The sequence below is a fragment of the Homo sapiens genome, chromosome 2 (genome assembly GCF_000001405.40).
Source record: "Homo sapiens chromosome 2, GRCh38.p14 Primary Assembly".
In the NCBI taxonomy this organism is placed as follows: Eukaryota; Metazoa; Chordata; class Mammalia; order Primates; family Hominidae; genus Homo; species Homo sapiens.
Window position 1 is genome coordinate 161,899,418 of NC_000002.12, and position 23,871 is coordinate 161,923,288.

The 23,871-nt window shown below is 37.6% G+C and overlaps 1 protein-coding gene and 1 long non-coding RNA gene across 30 annotated transcripts in view; one reads left to right on the forward strand and one right to left on the reverse strand.

The window, feature by feature from the left end:
• Positions 1-13,772, reverse strand: part of LOC105373722 (uncharacterized) — a 29,568-nt gene extending 15,796 nt beyond the window's left edge. Inside the window, exons 1-3 of one of the 3 annotated variants that reach the window (XR_001739758.2) lie at positions 13,737-13,772; positions 12,508-12,556; positions 364-445 (exon numbers count right to left, since the gene is read on the reverse strand). This is a non-coding gene — a long non-coding RNA (uncharacterized LOC105373722). Of the gene's footprint in view, positions 1-363; positions 446-2,590; positions 2,677-12,507; positions 12,560-13,736 lie in introns of those variants that run through there. The other 2 variants (XR_001739757.2, XR_923532.3) reach the window with 2 other exon arrangements.
• The window catches only part of SLC4A10 (solute carrier family 4 member 10), a 360,855-nt gene that overhangs the window by 275,002 nt on the left and 61,982 nt on the right, over positions 1-23,871 (forward strand). For 26 of the 27 annotated variants that reach the window (NM_001354461.2, NM_001354447.2, NM_001354441.2 and 23 more), the window contains 4 exons: positions 1,494-1,594; positions 4,587-4,761; positions 5,359-5,492; positions 6,225-6,470. In NM_001354461.2, coding sequence (NP_001341390.1) covers positions 1,494-1,594; positions 4,587-4,761; positions 5,359-5,492; positions 6,225-6,470 — 656 coding nt within the window. Of the gene's footprint in view, positions 1-1,493; positions 1,595-1,683; positions 2,748-4,586; positions 4,762-5,358; positions 5,493-6,224; positions 6,471-23,871 lie in introns of those variants that run through there. The other variant, XM_047445156.1, reaches the window with a different exon arrangement.

Sequence of the window (23,871 nt, forward strand, 5' to 3'; positions counted from 1 at the left end):
GAGGCTTTTGCCCCTACCATTTCACTAAAATACATACGAGAACAATGATCTCCACCATGCTAAGTCCCATGGTCAATTCTCAGCCTGCATTTTATCTAATCTATCAATGAACAGCATTTAAGAGTTGATGACTCCCTTTTCCTTAATATATGTTCTTTACTTGGCTCCCAAAACATCACCTTCTGTTAGTTTTGTCATTATAAAATAGAGTTAATTTATCTAGTCAGTAGTATTTTCCCAGAAGACCACATAATAATGCTTGCTTTCTGAGACCTGTGAAAGCTATGAATTGTTTTCCTAGGTGATTGGGAAGTAGGTATTGAGGGAAACTCTTAAATCCCTTTATTAATGTATCCTATTTACCTGTAAAGACAGTTCCTTCATCAGTTGACAGATGCTTCTCTTTTATCTTTGAACTTTAGTCTTACTGCGTCCATCCATTTGCCTGGGAAAATTGTTAAAATATTAAGCAATAAACTTTCTTATATTGAGCATTTTTCAAAACCTTTTTTATGTTTTAAACCTGTATCATTCTATCTAAATGTCTCATGGTAAGTGAGATCAGTTTATAAGTCACTTTTGTTTTTCATGTTTACACTAATTCTATTTTGGAATGGTGGTCAAGTAAAAATCATAATTTCACCACTTAAGATTTTTCCTATTATCCTTTGAAGTGCTTTTGAACACATTGGTGTGCTCTAAGATCACCATAGGTAGGATTTTAGGTAGAACTTTCTGATTTTTTAAGAAATCATATTCACCAACAAAAGCAGGTGGAATAGACCATGGGAAAACAATACTTACCTGAATCTCTACTAATTTGTCATTGGTTAAATTAGAAGCCTCCTTTTACAACAGTCTTTGGCACTCTATGAGTTAGAAAGACCTATATTGTAAACTATTTACTGGGTAGAAAAACACCAGCTGGAATTACACAGAGAAATATACTTTAAAAATAGTGATGATGGTTACTGTTCTTTGAACAGTTAAACTATGCCACGCATATAACACCACCATACTTAACACCTCCTCACGCCAACCTACCCACATCCTGATCTCTCTCTTTGCCCCTTCCCTTACTTCATTTTTCTTCATAGCTCCCATCTGTACCTGATATTATAAGGTTATTGTCTCTTCACTAACAGAATGCTTTTTCTTGCCCACCTTTGCAGCTCTAGCATTCATTACAATGAATGGCATACACTAGGCACTCAGTTTTAGTTGAAAGAATAAATAAGTGCCCATCACCTCATTTAATTCTCTTAGTCACACTATAAGATAGATACTGTTGTTACCCCCAGTAAACAAAGGAAGAAACTAACACTTTAAAAGGCTAAATAACTTCCTGGAGGTCAAGCAACAAGTAAGTACAGAGCCTGGGTTCTCAGCTATTGTGCATATTGCTTCAAGGAAAAATGAACTGTTATTATTATTTACAATTAACACCTGAAATTAAAACAAAACAAAACACATGAACAAAAAACTCTCCACAGGAGAAGAGGAAGATTCCTGCTGTACCAAATGGAACAGCAGCTCATGGGGAAGCAGAGCCCCACGGAGGACATAGTGGACCTGAACTCCAGCGAACTGGAAGGTTAGTGAAAATCACTTCTATGGGACTTCAAGGACCAAATGACATACCATTCTTCTCTGTCAGAAATTGCTATTTTGGGATCTAATTTATTGTATACTTTTAATACCTGCTTTTTGAGGGTGAAAATGCCAATTAGTTTGATTTCTCTGAAGTTACTAATGATTGTCATTACTGTTAAACTAAAACAGTGGATACACCCTTCCATTATACTTTACCTAGTCTTTCATTTTGCTGTGCATAAAATGCATTCTCAGATTCTTAGAATGAAAAGGAAAACCGTCAATTGACCCTTCCAAAAGAACCCATTGAAAGCTTCAAGTTGAAGATAGAAATAAAACTAAATACCAACAACTCAGTCTTGTAGGCCCTATCTCATTAAATGCAAGTAGGATGTATATAGTGGTATTTTTTATTTTTATGGCTGTGATTTGAAAGAGCTATATGATTTATTTTTCTAATCACACATCTTTGAAGAGATGAAAGCTTCAATTTATTTCTTAAAATGGTGCTTCATGGTTTTTTTGACAGCTTGTCTCTCTCTAAGCAATGTGTGAGCAGAAAATCAGAAACCCTTGGGTGGGTCTCTCTTCAGGGAATATGTGTATAGCCTCCATTATAATTAAAGGCAGTTGCAAAGGCTTTGCAGGATTGGTGCTCCCCTCCCCTCAAGGCCATTTTCTGTACTGCTTGCAATGTGTCCTCTAAGCTGACTTTCCAGTTCCTGAGCACTCTGCATTTTAATTCTGTGTTCTTTCCCTTTATCTATGTGTTGTCTCTGAGGAAATGTCCTTTAATGTCTTCCTCAGGCTTGATACCTAATTTGAGATGGTTCAAACAATTTTTTCCTTTTCCCTTCACTGGAAGCTTTGTTACTCATTCTGTTTGCTTTCATACTTTCAAATGCTGTCTTTTTATTTTTGGTGGTATTTTTTTTCTCTTTCTCAGGTGTAACATGCCACATAGCTTAGATTTTTTTCGAAGTTCACTTTTCCTTACTGCTTCCTAAATCCTCCCAGGTCACCAATATCCGGTATCTTCGCTTCTCCAGAGTTCTTCCACAGATTCTGTTGCTGACATGACTTGAAGTATCCATTACTCATCTGCTCTCCTGGAGTTGCTGGTGTACATCTGGGCTGCTCTTGCACTGTTCTCTGTAATGAACTCCCACTTCCGGATTTAGATTTTTACTGCTAAAAGCACATTTATTACACAGTACTATAACAACTATTCAGACTAATGTATGCTCTAATAAGTAATTGATTAGAATCAATGGTCTAATATAAAGTGCTTTCAAAACTATAAATATTAATTACTAATTAATAGCTCATAACCACCTCAAATTCTTTTTGGGATTAGGTGGGATATAAATCATAAATGAATGCCTAAATAGACTGGTAGAGTAAATCTGTTTTGAATTGTGACTTTGATAAGTTAACAAATTATTCAGAAATGATCCCTAAAATAAAAAAAAGTGCATATGTTTTACCAAACATGGGTAGAGAAGCCTAAGGTGATCTTTATGTGTACAAATATTTCACAGGTTCTCTGCAAGCTTCTCTGAGTTTCAAATGTCCTTTTATTCAATTGAAGTTTCATTCTTCTCAACCCTCTCCTACTCCATAGCTCTCTAATGGAAGCAATCACAGGAAAATATAGTGATCTTATACCTGCATAATAGTAGAAGAGTTATTAATAGGTAACTATTACAGATAAATCAGATCAGGGAAATTACTTGGTAAAATATTTTAATTATTCATAATATGTACATCTTTTATTTCAAATTCTAAGGAGAATTTATTTCTAAAAAGGACAGTCCTTTCTGAGATGATTCTAGGACTGCCAAATGAATATTCCTATGCATAAAATAAATAAGAAAAATGAAACAGTTTTTTATGATCCAAGTATACTCAGCATGCTGGCAGTATATTGGAGCATAATAAGATTTTTCACCACTGACATTAACCTTCATGTAGGAACTTATTCATAGTCTTATTCATTTTTGCTATCACATCATTATTCCATGGAGCAAAACTTACAGTAGCCAAATGTTAAGTCTGCGTATTGTTATTAAATGTTCATAAAATGAGAATACCTACTTATTAATGCTCTCATTTCTTATAGATTTAAAAAAAGATCTCAAATTTCAAGCATAATTTCACAGTTTAATACTTTTCCCCCAAAATAATTATCTTTCAAGTGTTTCAACATGGTTTTGAATATATTTGGAGTAAATGAATTTATACCAAGTAAGGTCACTATTGTCTTGTGAATCACAGATGCTGGGATATGTTAACGCAATAGTGGATCAAAATTACATTTATCTAGTTTTATTATTATAAGGACTCCCTCCTAGTTTTCTAAAAATGAAAACAGCTCTGAAACCTATCTGTCTCTACTAAGTATTGCTGCCATCCAAAAGGACATTTAGATGTCTTCCTGCAACAATATCTGGTGAGGGATTTTTGTTTGTTTGTTTTTTGGCCGAGAGAGTAGGTAACTGGAGCCATGGTTAAACATTGCTTTTTCTCTCTAGGGTGATGCTCACTACTGGAGTATACAAAAGCCAGCTAACCCTCCCTCCCTCACTTCCTGCTATGCTAAATGGAATTAAACATTTAGAAATACTGCCAATGATTGAGGGTTGTAGGCCTGAGTTTAGGAGGAGTAGGTTGACGTAGAAATGGCACAGAGATTAGAGTAATCCTTGAATCTCATTATTTGGATTATGATTGGTAAACAGCTCTGAACCTTGTTTAAGAGAACCTGGGATTTTTGGTGGTTGACACGATATTGGGTTAGGAATTGAGGTAACGAACGTAGTTGTGCAGTGCCTCCCTGTAGATTGTTATAAGACAATGCAGCAGGTTAATGTGTGTCTCACCTCTGCTGATGGAAAACGTATACTGTGACCTGGCAACAAAGCAAATGAGCATTTTGACTTGTGTGTTTTTTATATTTGGGTTTCACTATTGTGTTTTCCCCCCTGTCTTAGGATTTTTGGGGGACTTATTTTAGATATCAAAAGAAAAGCTCCATACTTCTGGAGTGACTTCAGAGATGCTTTCAGCCTGCAGTGCTTAGCATCTTTTCTATTTCTCTACTGCGCGTGTATGTCTCCTGTCATCACGTTTGGAGGACTGCTGGGAGAAGCAACTGAAGGGCGTATAGTATGTATTATGCTTTTCTCTGAACTTTGAAACATAATCCATTTTTAAGATTCATAGTTAGATAAGTGAGCATTTAATTTTGGATTCTTTTCTGAGGAGAGATTTGAGATATGGTCTGGCAGATACACCTTATATGAATTTCCTGGATGGCTAGTGGAACTGGTAATCTGGGAGTGGAATGTCTCAGAATAACTAGTTCTGAGTCTTACAAAAGGTTCTCATCTGATGCCTTGCCCTCAGCGCCCCCAATCCTAAGCTAGGTTTAGTCTCCATTCTTGTCTCACAAGAGGTCCATTTGCTATGTACCCGGGCCATGTTTCTGTCCAGACACTAATCCTGAATACATTTAAACCTTTTGTAAGGCAACAGAGACGTGAGATAGGAAAGTGAAGAGAACACTCCTACCTTTGCTACTATGCATTTTCTTCTTGCTGTCAGCCCCTTTAGTCATCCTTCTACCCCACGTCTTGCCCAGGGTTGCTAGACTTTTCAGGGTGAAGCACAAAGCACATATCCATGTATTTTAAATGTCTTCTCCTTAGCTACAATGGCCTCCTGTACAGCTTAGGTAATTGAACCATTTATATCTCTACACAGAGTGCAATTGAATCTCTCTTTGGAGCATCCATGACCGGGATAGCCTATTCTCTCTTTGGTGGACAGCCTCTTACCATATTAGGCAGTACAGGACCAGTTTTGGTGTTTGAAAAGATTTTGTTTAAATTTTGCAAGTAAGTGTTATGTACTTTTTGGCCCTTAGCCTCTTCCTTTTTTCTTTACTGTATTTATACTTCTCCCAACATCACTTTTGGAGGTCTGTTGATAGAGACAGAATTGCCTGATTTGTTTCAGTTTATCATTTTTGCTTCATCATGGGAATAGAGGAAAAGTAAAATATTTATGTATATTTTTATGTAATATTTTTAAAAAGTAAGACTCAGTTATAAGCATCGATAAATCCCTTTTGATTTTGTCCCTTTAGATGTTCCCTTTAGACCGGTGGTCTGCAACCATTTTGGCACCAGGGACTGGTTTCATGGAAGACAATTTTTCCACAAAGAGGGTTGAGGGGATGGTTTTGGAATGAAACTGTTCACCTCAGATCATCAGGCATTAGATTCTCATAAGGAGCACACAATCTAGATTCCTCACATGCACAGTTCACAATAGGGCTTGTGCTCCTATGAGAATCTAACGTCCCCACTGATCTGACAAGAGTCTGAGCTCAGGCGGTAATGCTCACTCGCCTGCCACTCACCTCCTGCTGTGCAACCCTTTTCATAACAGGCCATGGACCAGGGGTTGGGGACCCCTGCTTTAGACAGTCTTGAGTTTAGATACTCATGGGATGTGAAGCTTATTTACTTTCACTTCCTGAATGAGGTTTATTTTCATTTGCTTAAAATGATAGCAAGCTGTTAAATGACCTTCTTTTCACTGTTCTTTCCTTTTCCTCCTCCCAGAGAATATGGGCTGTCATACCTATCTTTAAGAGCTAGCATTGGACTTTGGACTGCAACTCTATGTATCATACTTGTGGCCACAGATGCTAGTTCCCTTGTCTGCTACATCACTCGGTTTACTGAAGAAGCTTTTGCTTCCCTGATTTGCATCATTTTCATTTATGAGGCCCTGGAGAAGTTGTTTGAACTCAGTGAAGCATATCCAATCAACATGCATAATGATCTGGAACTGCTGACACAATACTCGTAAGTACCATTTCCCCTGCTGGCCTTGGGGCTTTTCTTTTGACAAATATTGCTATTGTTACAAGAAATATGAGGAAATTACTCAGCAGAGAATGTGCCTTAAGTTGATTCATGACCTAAATCCTGACTCTCAGAGTCGAACAGGATTTTAAAAGTTATTTAATCGGCCACTCATCTGCTACTTGCATTCTCATTATACCATCTCTGCCAAGAGTATCTTTTTAAAGTTCTATTTGTCCAGTGTTCTCTAAAATAAGTAGATAAGGAACCAATTCCATTTTAATATACACGAATTTTACCTTAGCGAAATATATGTTATTTGGCGTTATTTCAGGGTCTTTTTAATTTACAATAATCCAAAGAAACATAGTAATGAAAATATAAGATTTCAAATTTAGAGCAATAAGGTAAAATAAACTTATTGGGTCTAAATCTTAGTAGATGTTTGAAAGTGTGGTAAAAACATAAATCACTGAATGAAAATTTAATTTTGGTTTTGGCACTTGTGACATTTTGATGGAAATACTCAGATATTAGTTGTTGAAGTTGATGTTACAGTCCGGGATTGAAGATGTGATTGGATCTATTGCTTTTTCTAGTTTTGGTGTATCAACAGTCTGAAATGTCTCTAAGGCTTTGTCTGCAGACTATATGTGGCCATTAAATGACCCCATTATTTAATTGTAGAATTTTTTATTGTGCTTATATGCAGTTTTTTATACTGCAAATATCTGAAGCAATATGTTCTTTAGGAGACAGTTATAATCTCTGCATCAACCACCAATCATTTCCCTATAAACTGCTTAGATATGGCCTTGAACCCTTTTAATATTTTTTAATCTTTATTTACTATCAGAAGTTTAAATTGTTGAAATCAGACCAAAATAGTGCAATGTTATAATTTTGTTAAGAATGACGAAATGTTGGGAGGCCGAGGCGGGCGGATCACGAGGTCAGGAGATCGAGACCATCCTGGCTAACACAGTGAAACCCCGTCTCTACTAAAAAACACAAAAAAATTAGCCAGGCGTGGTGGCGGGCGCCTGTAGTCCCAGCTACGCGGGAGGCTGAGGCAGGAGAATGGCGTGAACCCGGGAGGCGGAGCTTGCAGTGAGCTGAGATCGCGCCACTGCACTCCAGCCTGGGCGACAGAGCGAGACTCCGTCTCAAAAAAAAAAAAAAAAAAAAAAAAAAGAATCACGAAATGATATTATGTTGAAAATAATGTGAGTTTTAGTACTTTCACTTTTATATTATATTTAGAGATAACTTTAAACAACTGACCCCTATTTTTGAACAAGAAAAATCAAAGTGGAAATATAAAATAATTTTCCCATTAAAAGCAAATAGTGAGAATATTGTAAACAGGGCTAAGAAAGGACTGAGCATAGGTGTCAGGGACACTCAGAAAACAGGCAAATGGGAAGAACAGTTTGATCAAAACCAGGGATAACATTGATACACGCCTTTTCATTTATCCTTACCTGAAAGAGAATCTCACTGAATTTGGATATCCTTGCTGGGATATGTAATTATCTCTGGTTGGATTTTCAAATCTACTACATGCCAGGCACTATACTAGGTGCTAGGAAAACCATGGTGAATCATATTCTGTCCTCAGTGAGCTTCCAGTTTAGTAGGGAATGTAGATAAACAGACAGCATAAGGAAATGAGTGCCGGGTTAAGAGGTTGGTACAGAATGCTATAGCAGCACATCAGGAGAGCACCTAACCCAGATTTGAGGTTCAGAGAAGGCTTCCTGGAGGAAATAATGTAGAATAAAAATGCAGTAGAAGTTAGGAAGGTGCTAAGGAATAGGGCAGAAAAGTAGTTCAGTCAAAGGGCATTCACAGGACTAGATGCAAGAGATGCATTCATGCTTTAAAATATTTGTCTGAAGTTATATAGATAGTGGTAAAACAAGAAATGGAATCCAGGTTTTATTACTGATATAATTTTCAGTACACTGATGAATACAGATAAACTCTCCAAAAGAAACTATGTAAAACAAATAAAACAGGTAAAATCAGAACTATTCTGTTTCAAGTGGTAGGAAGGCACCCATTGCCTACCCTCTCAGCTGTTCTTTGAACCTTCATGGTAGCTTCTTAGGTACTTCAGACTGAGGAACATAGTTTAAAGTCCCTTGGTCTAGAAAGGAAAAAGATTGGAAAAGCAAGGTCTGAGCCCTGAACAATTTTCACAGCTCTAAAGTAGAATGAGAAAAATGCAACCAATAGGCAAAAAATAAATAAATAAAAATAAGAAAGAAGCATCAGAAAAAGAGGAAACTATGGATAATGTCAGGTCGCAGAAGGCAAGAAACAAGAAATGTATCACAAAGTCTTTAGAGAGGACAGTGGCATGGACATCAAACAGAATAAGGAAAAGTGTTTGAAAAGAGATACCTGGTAGCTTTAAAAAATTCTCAGCAAACTATTGCAAGGACAAAAAACCAAACACCGCATGTTCTCATTCATAGGTGGGAACTGAACAATGAGAACACATGGACACAGGAAGGGGAACATCACACACTGGGGACTGTTGTGGGGTGGGGGGAGGGGGGAGGGATAGCATTAGGAGATATACCTAATGCTAAATGACGAGTTGATGGGTGCAGCACACCAACATGGCACATGTATACATATGTAACAAACCTGCACGTTGTGCACATGTACCCTAAAACTTAAAGTATAATAATAATAAAATTAAAAAAAAAAAACAACTGGTATTGGGTTGGGAAAGGAGGCAGAATGGGAAGCCAGTTTGCAAAAACTAACAAGGAAGTGGGTGGTAAAGAAATGGAGAAAGCTGCATAGGCCAGTTGGTGTCAAAGAAAGTGGGAAACAGAATGCCTTTTGAGGAGGGCAATGAAATCGTAAGATTGATAATTTGTGACAGAGAAGGACTATGTGTGTTTGAAAATGGGAGAATAGAGACTGAGGAAAGGAAGGCAGCAATGATGAAAAGAGTAGATAAACATGGGATTGCAACCTCCCAGGAGTCAAAAAATGATAAGATCAAGGGATTAAGTAAGACAAATGCTCAAAGGGTAATTTGAAAGCTAAAATAGCTTTATGTGGCCATGATCCCTGTCTGTCATGGTGATCAAAAGAGGAGTGACATAGGTGGGAATTGAACAATGAGAACACATGGACACAGGAAGGGGAACATCACACACTGGGGACTGTTGTGGGGTGGGGGGAGGGGGGAGGGATAGCATTAGGAGATATACCTAATGCTAAATGATGAGTTAATGGGTGCAGCACACCAACATGGCACATGTATACATATGTAACAAACCTGCACATTGTGTACATGTACCCTAAAACTTAAAGTATAATAACAATAAAATTAAATATATAAAAAAAAAGAGGAGTGACAGAGGTCCTGACTTTCTCCACATTTCCATCTCTGTTTTTTAAAAAGTGATCCCGCATGTTTAAGTTTTCCTTGGATCAATGTGAGCATCTAAAACCTAATTCTTTCAAGGCTGAACATGAATGTGTGCTGATGACTGTGTTCCATTGCCCAAGTGCCCTTCTCAACCCAGGTTAGGGAAATAGAAGGGATGGAACGACTGGTTCATCCTTATGGGCATGAGGTTTTAGTGCCACCTGGCACCTGAAATGGGTGTGTGTGACAGAAACAATGACAGTCTCATGGGAAATGGGGTCTGACTAGATTTCCTCACTGCACTGGTTCTTCACTCCAGTTGTTAAGCCTTGATTGGCTTCCAGTGCCACTTACACTGTGTACATGAATCTGATTAGGTATTTCTATCACTTGCTCCTTGGAGTAGCAAAATCAATCTTTTTTTTGCTATGCATAGAACGCATATATTTACTAGTGTACTTTTAGTTATGTTCATTAATGAAAATAAGTTATTGCTAATTACTGCTATTTTAATGTATTTTATAATCTCATACTTTTGCACAAAACATTTACTTTGGTGAATTCTCATGAAGTCCAGATGACACTTTTAGTGGCTTTCTTGTTACTGTGACCTTTTCACACTGAATCAGTGTCATTTATAACAATGTCCACCTAAAGTTTTCTACTTTAGATGTTGCTGGTCTCATATTTATTATAAGGTACTATGCAGGTTCATTAGAAAAATTCCTAGAAAATGTTATAGCTAGAACATAATATATCTGAGATTGCAACCTTTGCAAACAATATGCCTATAATGTGCATATTTGTTTGGGTATAAGATATTTGAAAAAAGTCATCATGTTTAGGATCTATATTTCAGATTTTTTATACTTAGCCTCCTACAATCAGATTTCCTTAAATTCATAGTGTATCAACCAAATAACAAGATGTCTTTGACTTTTTAAAGATATATCTAGCTACTCTGTCATCCTAACCTTATAATATGGTAATATACAGACCTTATATTTGAAAATATAAGCTTTTCTTTCATTATGCCAAGATCAAGTGTCAAGATCATCTATTTAGTTTTGAGAATACATACATTGCACCAGACGATCAAGCTGAATATGCCAAGTTAGCAATAAAAAACAAGTTTATGGGAATAATCTTTTCTTGGTTGCTTTGATTTTAAGAAATGGCAAAAATAGAATGAAATGTTTTGCTTGTATAAGATGAAATGTTTCTTTAAGTTTTGGGAATAATAAAGTTTTGAAAGACAACTAGCTAAAGAAAAATTGAGCATGTATTTATTAATGTTTTGTAATCGATTGGGTCAAAGCAGTGTGTAGGGTCTGATTATCTCTCTAGTTTCTGATATATATGTAGGCTAGAGTGAAATAAAATATAATGATTACCAAGCTGTTGAAGGAGTGTTCTCACCAGCAGGTTATGAGAAATTTTTTTATTTTCTTTTTCTCTTTTTTGTTTATCTAGCACCCAGCCCTGTACATAACCCAAAGTAGTGATCTGTTTTGAATAAATGTTATTTACTGACTGACATGCAGAAGAGTATCCTCTCTCTCATCTTCTCGACTAGATTTGAACCTCCTTTAAAGTAGAAAACATTTAACAATGAGAATTTCATTCTCACGGTCCCTAATTTTATCTCCCGTAGTCCCAGCATAATATTGTAAATATGTAAATAAACATACATTAAGTATCACTTAATATGTAAATAAACATTTAAAATATGTTTAAAATATTTAAAATATGTAAAAAATAAAATATGTAAATAAACATACATTAAGTATCACTTAATGATAATGGTAAGTTAAGTATACATTAAGTGATACTTAATGTATACTGATTAATGGAACATGTTGCAAAATAATTGACATTACTCGGCCAATCTTGTTCGCTAAGTAAAGAAAATAGTGCTTGTTTACATTATCTTTAACAGCACTCTTAAAGATTTTAGCTAGAAGTTTGGGATAAATTTGACACATTATGAAATTGTTAATATGCAATAAAGGTATATAAATTTGAATTCATAAAACTAATGATGATTGAAAATTTAGACAGGGTGCCAACATTGTGGAGAAATCATCTGAAAAAAAAGGCAAGAGAAACTGGAGTGCAATTTATAGCGGAACTCCCAAGGGTGATAGATGTGGGGAGAAACAAGATGAAACAGAGTAATCATACTGCATAAACCTTTTAGTACTCACTAGTCAAAAAATAGCGAATAAAACAGATTTAGAGAACTATCTGTTTCAACCTTTTTAAATCACATTTTTTGCGACGTATACACTTGACTAGATTTATCCAGAATTGCTTGCAACATAACATGACAATTATATTTTTAGGTGTTTACTTTATTTGTGTACCTTCACTAGATTAATCTTCATAATGGTAAATCATGGCTATTAGGCAGATCTATGTACCTACTGTACCTAGCAAAGTGCTTGGCACATATTGTATGAACATGTTTATTCATATTTTTACATTTCTGAAAATGCTTCTCACAACTGATGGGCACATTTCACATATAGTTTCCCCCCTAAAAAGCTAGATTGTTTGACATCTTAGATTAAAATAAATATAATAGTAGGCACTCAATAAATTATTTATTCAATAAATAAACTTTTAGCAACTCCTCACCTCATTCTTGATTCTTGATCCAAACACTTGCTATCCTTGTTTTCTGTTCCTGCTTTTAAAGTAAATTATTTTAATGATAAAGTCTCGTTTCCAGTAGCAGTAGTATCCAGTATAATAGTTCATTATTTACCTCTTTCATTCTCACTGTCCCTAATGAATTATGAGCCTTTTTGAACAGAATTTGTGTTTATCTTTCTACCTACAGAGAGCTAAGGGATTGGCAGATAGTAGTAAAGCTTTATTAAGTGTCTTTCAACTATGTTACTCTTCGTATCTACTTTCAGATCTTAAATGGAATTATCTTTCACACTTTCTTGTCAAATAGGTATAAAAAGGCAGCTATTTACATAAGAACTCAATATCAGAGGGCGAGTGCTAAGCAGGTAACAGTGGTTTCTTGGTTTCTTCCTTTAAAGAAGTTTAAATAGTTATGTGGCTATGTTTTGGTGAGATGTGATGAGTGTTCTCAAGGAGTTCACAATCTTTGAAGTGCTGACCCCATTTCTGTTTGCTTCCTGAACTGACCTAGATTCAAGGATATATTCTGAAATATTTTAAGTGGAATATAGTAATGTTTTAACTTATATTAAAATACCTCACCACAGACACTGTGGTAATATGTGTATGTTAGGTCAAGTTACAACCATGGGCAGCTAGTATTCTGATCAGGAGTCCTAGCTCTAGGAGTGGTCAGCTAGCATTAAAGTAGAGAGACTACACTCCAGAAAAGGCTACTACAAACCCTGAGACTATTAGCCATGTCTCAGTCAACACTGATGCTTTGCTGAATGTCAGAAATGGATTTTCATGGGCAATATCACTGACTTGTTAATCAGTGTACTGAAATGCATTGGTAAAATTAAATGTACTCAGGATATGTGGATTGACTGTGGCCTCTCTAGTTTTGCCAGAAGAGGATATAAGAATCTAGAAAGTGAATCACATAGTCTCAAGTCCTAGAGATATTCTAAGGCTTAATTCATAACTGATCCTATGTCCAGCTATTTTTGTGCCTGATGTCGCTAAAACGATACCAGAATCCTGCTTATGGAATACTGTCACATCATCCTTGAGTAAATCTTTCATGCAAGATGAAGTCAAAGTATCAAAAACAGGAGAGCTGGAACTTCAGTGAGCTAATGAAACAGATTATAGGAAGTGCTTTGCCCATATTTCCCAATAAATGTTTACTATATATGTATGTCTATGTAACTGAAAAAATAGTATACCTCATCTTTGCCTTTCTGAGACACACTGGAGTATAATTTACCTGTAGTCTGTGACATCATCCAGCTTCTTAATATTTCTTCCAAGTTCTAGAACTTTAAAATGTCTTTAAAGCACTGTTTCTCAACCACTAATACACATACCATCATTGAAAAGCAGTAGTTTAAAGAGTTTAAAGAGTTGTTTTTCATAATAAAAAGTTCTTCCAAAAATTTACTGGCTTTTTATATCCTTAATAACCATTCTAAATGAAAAATATAATAAATAATAAAGCCACTTGACAGAATAGACAGAAATACAATAGCTATAAAAAATTGTGAACCTTTGCTCTTATAACTATGTTGCAATTTCAGTTTCTAAAACATCAGTTAAAATTAGTTCATACTTCACCAAAGTTTTAATTCCAGAGAAAGTAGCACGTTGTCTTTTCAAAGTCCCTCTGAATATTTCTCTTTACATTTACTAAAATCTTCTGGAGCAGATAAGATCTATTTTATAGAACAAGTTATGACTTCTGACCTACCAGTAACCAAATGAATTATAGTGAAGAGTAGAACCCTTTTTTGTCTTCAATGTAATGCTTTTTCGAAGTAGATGGTGTGATCTCTTTCTTCCACTCAACTTCTTCTCACCTGTTGGTCATATTGTTATGGGATCTTTATGAGATTAATGTAATGCTGGCCTTGACACTTTGTATATGATTTGATAATTTTACATAGGATATCTGCCACTTCTATTGGATAATTTTCATTAAATTATTCTTGTTCATGTAAAATGTTGATACATTAGTCATTCATTCATCTCTACTCTGCTGGATGATGTAAGTGTCATTGCTACATACTTTATAGCATTAGTCATGCTAAATGAATGCTTAGAGACATTGCTAATGGAAGTGGAAGAAACATTTCCCTTTAACTATATAAATTAATATGTTAATCACCCTGAACACTATTCTTACTAAGTATGTATAGACCTAGCCAAATTTGGTCAGCTCAGCACATTTTTCTACTTATATGTGCAATCTTGATAATACAAGGTGTTCAGCTTATGCATTTTACATTTATTATTTAACATACTGGAAAATATCAAGTGAAGAAGTATAAATACAACTCTGAAAAAGAAAAGTTTAATTTATGAAAACATTCTGTGCTCATAGCTCTCAGTTTTAGGCAAGACAGTTTTTATATAACCCCCACCCCACCAAAAAAACTATCATTATTAATTCTCTCTCTACAAGACTGTTTAAATATTATGAGAAGGGTCACGAAACATGTTCTGTAAAGAAACACTCATGGCCAGGCTCAAAGAGGTTTGTGTACAGGCCAGTCCTTCTGCTTCAACTCCCCCTACTATAATATATCACTTCTCTCTTCATTACAAATGTAACTGGTATCTTCATGGTCTATAAAACTTGTTCTAAAGATGATCAATAGGAGGCTAATTTTATCTCTTCCCCAAATTTTGCATTTTGATATCTAAATGAATGAAGTACTCATGGAAGATTTTTTTTTTTATTATAAAAGCAGATTTTGGGGAGCTAGCAGGAATATTTCTCCTCACTCTGAAATGATATGACTCAATGTTATAGGCTGAATTGTGCCCCTCCCAAATTTCTCTGTTGAGGCTCTAACCCTCAGTACCTCAGAATGTGACTGTATTTGGAGACAGGACTTTTTAAAAAATGATTAAGATTAAATGAAGTCATATCGATAGTAACAGGAGTCAGAGAAATTCTAGGCAGACAGGGGTGAGTCCCTGGCAAAACCCCACTTTCGAGCCAAAAAGCCTGAAACCCGCAGCCCAAAGTGGTAACTTCCATCCCTGTGTGCCTGTTCTCTTCCGATTGGTTCTTTCTGAATAATATCTTTTTTACCAATCAAATGTTGCCTTTTCCAAAACTACCTAAGGCCCACCCAACACCTTATCCTGTGCCTATAAAGACCCCAGACTCAGCCAGTAGAGAGGAGAAGCAGCTAGACGTCAGGGAGAGGCAACTTGACTTCAGAGATGGTGGCTGGACATTGGAAAGAGGCAACTTGACTTCAGAAGAGAGAGGCAGAGAAGCAGCTTGACTTCAGGGGAGAGCAACCTGCCCTTCCTGTCCCCTTTCCATCTCCCCGTCCGCTAAGAGCTGCTTTCATTGCTCAATAAAATTCTTTGCATTCACCATCCTTCAATTTGTCCATGTGACCTCATTCCTCTTGGGCACTGGAAAAGAATTCACAACATGCCAAGTGAATTACATGACTTGAGTTTTGAATGAAACTTTTCAAAACTTTTGTGCCTGATAACTCAAAATTTTGGTACTCAAACAGGCCATCACACTGGCCCATTGCTCTCACTGATGGTGAGCAGCTTCCCCATACGATGAGGCAAAGGACCTAGCTGATAACACACTGCTGTCTGTGGATGGTGGAGATAAGAGAGCATTGTAACATGCCCTCTGGGTCCTTGGGGTCACAGGCACCCCCACCTGGACACTGCCACAGAGCCTACACAGAGTTTCCTCTTGCAGGCTCTAAAGCAACCAGCCAGTTCCTGCACTTGCTTGTTCTGGTTCCCACACTCATTCACTCATGCACTCCCTCCTGCAAGGGTTGAGCAGGGTGGGCTGAGTAAATGGGGCACCTTGTCACAAGTCCTGTGAAGGGAGAAAGAAAATATCCTGCTTCAATATGGGAGAGAGGGGTCCTAATCTAATCTTTTTGGTGTCAGTATAAGAGGAGAAAATTTGGACACACAAAGAGACACTAGGAATGTACATTTAATTATAGTTGACCTAAGTGCTATCATATAAAGGTATATGATGCCAAGAGAGTGAGAAATATTTCCAAACTTATAGAAGAGACCATGTGAGGACACAGCAAGGGAGTGGCCATCTGTAAGCTAAGAAGAGAGGACTCAGAGGAGACCAACCCTGTTGGCACCTTGATCTTGGACTTCCAGTTTCCAGAACTGTGAGAAAATAAATTTCAGTTTTTAAGCCAGCCAGTCTGTGGTATCTTGTTGTGGCAGGCATAGCAAACTAATACATTGAATAAATGTTTGTATTTTAGTCCATTTATGTTTGAAGTTATGGGCAAACTCTTGCAACTCTTTCCCCCTCAGTAAATGACAATCCCATCCTTTCAGCTGCTCAGACTAAAAAATCATGGATTTATTCTTGTCTATTCCCTTTTTCACACATCCAGATTTCCTAGCAAATTCTCTATATAGAATACAAACACTTATCTTCACTCTCTCTACCTCTGTAAACTCTTGTCTAGATTATTGCAATTGCCTTCTAGCTGGTGTCTTTAATTTTATGCGTACTCTTCCACAGACTGTTCTCTATGAAGCAGCAAGAATTATTCCTTCAAAACTCAAGTCAGGTCATGTCACTCTGCTTCTCAAAGCCCACTGATGGCTTTGTGCCAAAGCCAAAGGGCTTCTGTGACCTTTAAGGTATGGCTTCATCTGTTCCCCAGTGCCTCTCTTCTCTCTCCTCCTGCTACTTTGCCCTTCTGCTCCAGCCACACCAATATGATTTCCTGGCCCTTCTGTAAACACATTTGGCATGTTTCTGCCTCTAGCCCTTCACACTGTCTTTTTAAAAATATTTTTTGGCTTGGAATGTTTCTGCCAGATACTTATGTGGCTTCTTTCACTTCCTTCAAAATCACCTACTCGAGAACTTTCTGTGAAATGTTCAACTCCCTTCTCTCTGTCTCGCCTACCGTATATAATTTACTTATCTTTTTAAAGTAAAAATTATTGAAGGATCATTTATATACAATAAAATTTACCACTTTGAAGTATGCCCTTAAGTGAGTTTTGGCAAATAAATACTACCATAATCAATGTATAGTACATTTCCCAAAAATGTTTCCTTGTGCTCCTTTGCAGTCAATCTTTCATCCCCACCTCCTGGCAACCACTGATATGACTTACATTTCTAAAGTTTTGCCTTTCCTAGAATTTTACATAAATGGAACCACAGAGTATGCCTGCCTTCTTTCACTTACCATAATGCTTTTGAGATTCACTGATTTTGTTGCATGTATCAATTTATTCCTTTTTCTTGCCAGGTAGTGTTCTACTATATGGATGTTCCACAATTCATTTGTCCAATCACAAATGAACGGACATCTGGGTTACTTCTGGCTTGGGGCTATCTTGCTTCACATGCAGGTCTTTATTTGGACTGTTTTAACTTTCTCTGATAGTTAGATAGTGTAGATAGTGTAGATAGTTAGTGTGGATAGTTAGATAGTGTAGATAGTTAGATAGTTGTAGATACCTAGAAACAAGATTGCTAGGTTACATAAAAAGTGTATGTTTAACTTTATAGGAAACTGCCTTGAACCCCTGAGGTGGAGGCTGCAGTGAGCTGTGATTGCATGCACCACTGCACTCCAGCCTGGACAAAAGAGGGAGACCCTGTCTAAAAAAAAAAAAAAAAGAAAGAAAGAGAAAAGAAAAAGAAACTGCCAATGTGCTTGTAGCATTTTGTATTCTTAACATCAGTATATGAAATCATATTCCAATTATTCTGCATCCTCACTGTCACAAACTATTGTGCTGGTGTGTAGCGGTATTTTTATTTATCAATCTAATTTATTATCTCTCTCCTCTCTAGAGTGAAGGGATCATTAGGGTAGGGAATTTAGCCTGTTTTCATTACTGCTTTCACAGTGCCCAGATCAATTCCTGGCACAAAGTAGGTGTTCAATAAATATTTGTTAAACAAATGAATGAATTTTGAATGATTATCTCCTCTACTCAGAGCTAAAAATCGAACTGAGACTCAGAAAGCTTTATTGCTTGCCCAAGTGAAAGAGCTAAGGTAAACCCCAAGACATCTAATGCTTTGTCGAACACTCAACACTGCACTGCGTTGTGGGTCACTGGTTTGTACAAATTCATTTTATGATTAATACTTAGATTATAGGAGAATTTGCATACATTATTATTTTACTTAGGTCACTTAAATATCTTCAAGAAGTGTTTTTGTTGTTTGTTTTGTTTTCATTTGTTTTGTTTGAGACAGAGTCTCTCTCTGTCACCCAGGCTGGCGTGCAGCGGTGCAATCTCAGCTCACTGCAACCTCCACCTCCTGGGCTCAAGTGATTCTCCTGTCTTAGTCTCCTGAGTACCTGAGATTATAGTCATGCACCACCACACCCAGCTGATTTTTGTATTTTTAGTAGAGACAGGGTTTTACCATGTTAGCCAGGCTGGTCTCAAACCCCTGACCTCAAGTGATTCACCTACCTTGGCCTCCCCAAGTTCTGGAATTACAGATGTGAGCCACCACACCTGGCCTAGAAGTTTTAAATTTCAAATAGGAAATAAAAATATAAGAATAGAGGGATTTAAAACATAATTAAAATAATATTATGTGTATGAGGTTACATAGTGTCTTATTTTAGAGCTAATTAGCACATAATAGTGCTTATTTTGATTATAAAAATTCACCACTTATGGGTATGTGACAAGGAGGGCAAAATACCTTGGCTGGAGATGAGTTTTTCTGCATCACATTGAAGCCTACTTCACCTTGTTCCTTTAAGAAACTTGGTAATGATGGCAGCAGTGGCCCATCTGAAGTGGCTGCTGCAAAGATGCCAGCTGCAGTAGGGAGGCGCCTACTTGCTGCAAAGATGCCAGCTGCAGTAGGGGAGCTGCAGTAGGGGAGCTGCATGCTCTGTGGAGCAGGCAGGACCCAGGAAAAGGTGGAAGCCCCGCGCCTTCTGAGTTGGTGGGGTGGGAGCCCTGCGCTCCCTGGTGCAACTGCAGCTGCCCAGCCATTGCTGCAGACCCAGGCATCCCTGTGCTCTCAGGGCCTGGAAAGCCCCCTCCCCCCATAGGTTTGGAAGCACTTGCTCCTGCTGTCTGGCCTCTCCTCCCTCTGGGTGCCTCCTCTGATTTTGGAGCAAAGTTGTGGCCAAGCCTGGGTGCTCTTGCAACCTGGCCAGGTGTGCACACACTTGGGGTAGTAATGACACACCAGCCCCCTGCCATCTCAGCCCTCTCTGGACTTTGTGCACTGACAAGCATGAGATGGAGGCCAAGGTGGGGCTGAAGGTGGCTTGGTGCAGGCCTGCTGGCACCCCTTAGCACGAACAGCCTGGGCACAATGAATGGCAGAAGGAGGCAGACAGGCTCCTGGGCACAAAGGGGGCTGGTCCCCAGTGAAACCTCACCTTCAAGCCAGGGACAGCCTGAAGCCTGGGGGCCAGGCTGCCAGTTCTGCAGACTGGAGTGAGAAATATGGCACTTTTGCTGCTCACCCATGGCCACCCATGGACCAATCAGCACACACTTCTTCCCCTCTGGAGCCCATAAAAACCCCAGACTCAGCCAGAATCAGGCAGATGATGGGACCACCTGCCTGCAGAAAGCAGCTACCCTCACTGGTCTCTTCTTAGCTGAGAGCTGCACACTTGATGGGATGACTTGCCTGTGGGTAGGAGCTACCCACTTTGGGCCTCCTGAGAACTATACTGTCACTCAATAAAGCCCCTCTTCATCTTGTTCACCCTCTAGTTGTCTGCATATCCCATTCTTCCTGGATGTAGGACAAGAACTTGGGACTCACGAAGTGGTGGCACTGAAAGAACTGTAACACAAACAAGGCTGAAACACACCCCTGGCTCACCATGTTGCAGGTGAGGAGGAGAGAAGACAGAAAGAGGGAAGAGCTGCAGCCCTTCAGGAAGTCCAGACCTAGGAGTTCTCTGAGGCATGGCTGTGACACCCTCTTTGGGGCTCTGCAGTTCCTGGTGTCTCCAAGCTTCTGGGTGCCACCACGTTCCCCAGAGCCTGCAGTGTAAGTGGCTTGCAGTATGCCTGGTCCAGCCACAGCCTTGCACAGAGCTGGTTCCTGTGCCAGTGTCTGGAACTGCCTGCCCCACCACAGCAGCCAGCATGCCTGACTGTGCACAGTGGCCAGACCATATGCTTGCTCACTTATGCACCCCTCACCTCTGTGCCTTTGGCAGGCCTGGGATCCAGGCTGGTAGCACGAGCTGAGCACAACCTGCCAGGCCTAGTGGGCAGAATGAGCCCAGAGGGCCCAAGCAAAACTCAGGCAAAGGCACCACTGGCCACAAAGGCTTCTGGCTGGAAGAATGACACCCCGGGGACCTCATGACAGTAATAACTTGGCTTAAAAGGCTGGGATAGGGATCTATGACATTAACCCAATTAGTGGCCTTGGGTAAGTCCCTAAGAACAACCTCTAGAGACAATGTCTTAACTCAAGAAAAAAAAAGTAGGAAGAATATGGAAAATACATAGGGAATAAGAAGTCTGGAAGTATTGTATTAATACCAAACTTATAGTACTTAAAGGACAAAATAAAGGGTTGCAAAAGAGTTCACCTTGTTGGTGAAGGAAACCTTGTACTTTTTATTCTCTGCATATTTTGAATTGTTCAACTTGCACTGTATGCCTGCATTATTTTGTAATTTCTTTCTAAAGATGAATTTTGTGTTGGGAAATTCAAGTCCTGTGACAAACCATAGTATGAGCTAATCTGGGGGAGGTGGTGCTCTTCAAATTAGTTTCCATGTAACAAAATTTATTTTCAAATTCAGGAAAAGAGCAACCTACAAAACTCAGGAGTAAAATGGGCAAAATGTTCAAGGAATAATAAGTAGGTTTACTGTTCTGTTCATACATGTGCTTACTCATTCACTCACTTAGCTCATTCCTTCAACATCCATTGATCTTCCTTGTGTATGTCAGTGCTGATGGTATAAAATGAATACAATATGGTCCCTACTCTGAAAGACCTTAGTGATTATCAGACAGTGTCTGGAGATGTCCTTTGGACATGATATCCACTCAAATAGTATTTGTTGAATTAATAAATGAGGAGAGAGGCTAGAGGATACACAGTTAAATAATTGCAATGTGATATAACAAGCACTATACAAGGTGTCTGTATAATGGCCTAAGAGAAGAAGTAACAGAGTGCCCTGGAGAGCTCAGAAGCATTCATAGAAAAAGGAAACCTGAACTTATCTCTCCATTTCTGTTGTACCTGCCACATGAGTTTATTGTATGTGGCATACCTATGTTTCTTTCTCTCTCTCTCTTCATTGTACCTGTGAATTCCCACATGCAGATCATCACTAGATCTGAGAGTAGTTACGCAGAGTAGAATGGACCTCTGGGGACCAATTGGCAGAGAGCCTTAAAAGTTCTAATAAGTTTTATCTGGTACAAAGGCCATCATGGATCATGACAAGGCTCTGGGAAGAATTATGTGACAATAGGTTAGAAGGTGATCACAGGAAGCAGAGCAAGGAGCAATACCCTAGGCATAGAATGTTTAAGTCCTGACTACTGGCTGAGACAATGGTAATGGGAAGAAAGCAAAAAAACTAAAAATGGAAAAAATGAAAAACAAAAATTATCCAGGATTGATTCACTTGTTCAACAAGTAATTGTGGAACAGTGTCTAATTTCTAGGAGCTATTATGAAAACTTTGCCTATATGACTTCATTTGAACCTCACAAGAACCTTGTGGGACAAGTATTATCCCTGCTTTACAAACAATCAATCTGAGGCTCCAACAGGTTAAATAATCTTCTCAATATCACATATACAATAAACGGTAAATGGGGGTAAACCCAGGACCATTTTGTCTTAAAGCTCATAAACTTTCTGACATATTAAAGTAAAAATAATAGCAAATGATTGCGATGATTATAACTCCTTAAAGGTAGGGACTACGATATATGTCTATGTATCTCCAGTAGGACTTAGCACAGTAATCTGTATAAAATAATTTCAAATTGTTAAATCAGTCAGTTGTCATAAGGCTGCCTGCTATGGGCCAGGTGCTTGCTTAAAAAAAATGAATGCATAGACAGGATTCCTTCATGGAACTTATAGTCTGTTGAAAGAATCAGACATTAAATATTACACAAAATTACATTATACAAATGACGTAAGTGCTATCATATAAAAGTATAGGATGCCAAGACAGTGAGAAATATTTCCAAACTTATATATTTAGAGGCTAAGGAGAGGATATGTCTATTTGAATGAAGATAAATTTGAGATGAGAAAAAGTTTAAGAATTTAATGGAGAGAGTATTTAAATTTTTAGTGTTAGCTAATTGTGGTGGTGTTTTACAAAGCTACGATGCATATTTTTGAAAAGCTATTTTCCTCATAATATATTATGGTTATATACTTAGTGATATCTTAGAAAAGTATAAGTACTAAGCAAACCTCTTCAAATAATAAGCTCAAAATATGGAAATAGGTGTATTCATAAAAGGATTGTCTCTATATTATTTAAATAGTCATCTTAATAGTAACAATTTAATTAAATGATTAATAATCCAAGAATAAGTTATGTTGTATCCCTTACAAATAATGGTTCTGAAGGGTAATGTAGCAATAGGAAAATGCTTGCATTCTAGTGCTATGTAAAAAAGGAATAAAAATATTGTATGCTCATAAAAACATGTTGAAAATATACATAAGAACTACTGAAAGAAGTATACCAAAAATTTGTAGCAATTATGGTAGAAAGACTATGAGAGATACCTTTTTCTTTTTTTATTTTGTAAATATTCTGTAGTGTGATTTTATTATCATTGCAATTAAAAATACTTTCTGAAATAGAAAAAGAATAATCATAAAAACACATTTGGCTTCTATGGATAGATCCTGATTTTCTGATTGTATGTTTTGTATTAATACCTGACTTGGTACATAGCACTCTGGGAGATAATCAAGTCAATAAAAAGACCTGAAAAATAAATGAATCACAAACCATAACTGTTTAGTGCACACAGGAAGGTACTATTAATAACTACAAAGGCAAAAGGAGAGCATCTGCAACCCAAGGACTAAAATTAGTAATAATGTTGAAGGGAGTTCTACCAAATTATGTTTTCCAGAAGACAGCCGCAGGCTCTTCTTGTGTAAGGAAGACAGATCACCTCCATTAGCCTTGAAACAAAAGCAAAGACTTCTGGATGAGGGCATTTAATTATAATGTTTATGTAATCACTCTGTAGCCATTTATATAAACAAGATCGCTTAGAGCACTTGCTTTTCTGTGGGCAGTAAAGGGTACTAAAAGATGTATTTTATAAAAAGTGTATTTTAAGCCAAATAATTCAGCACCA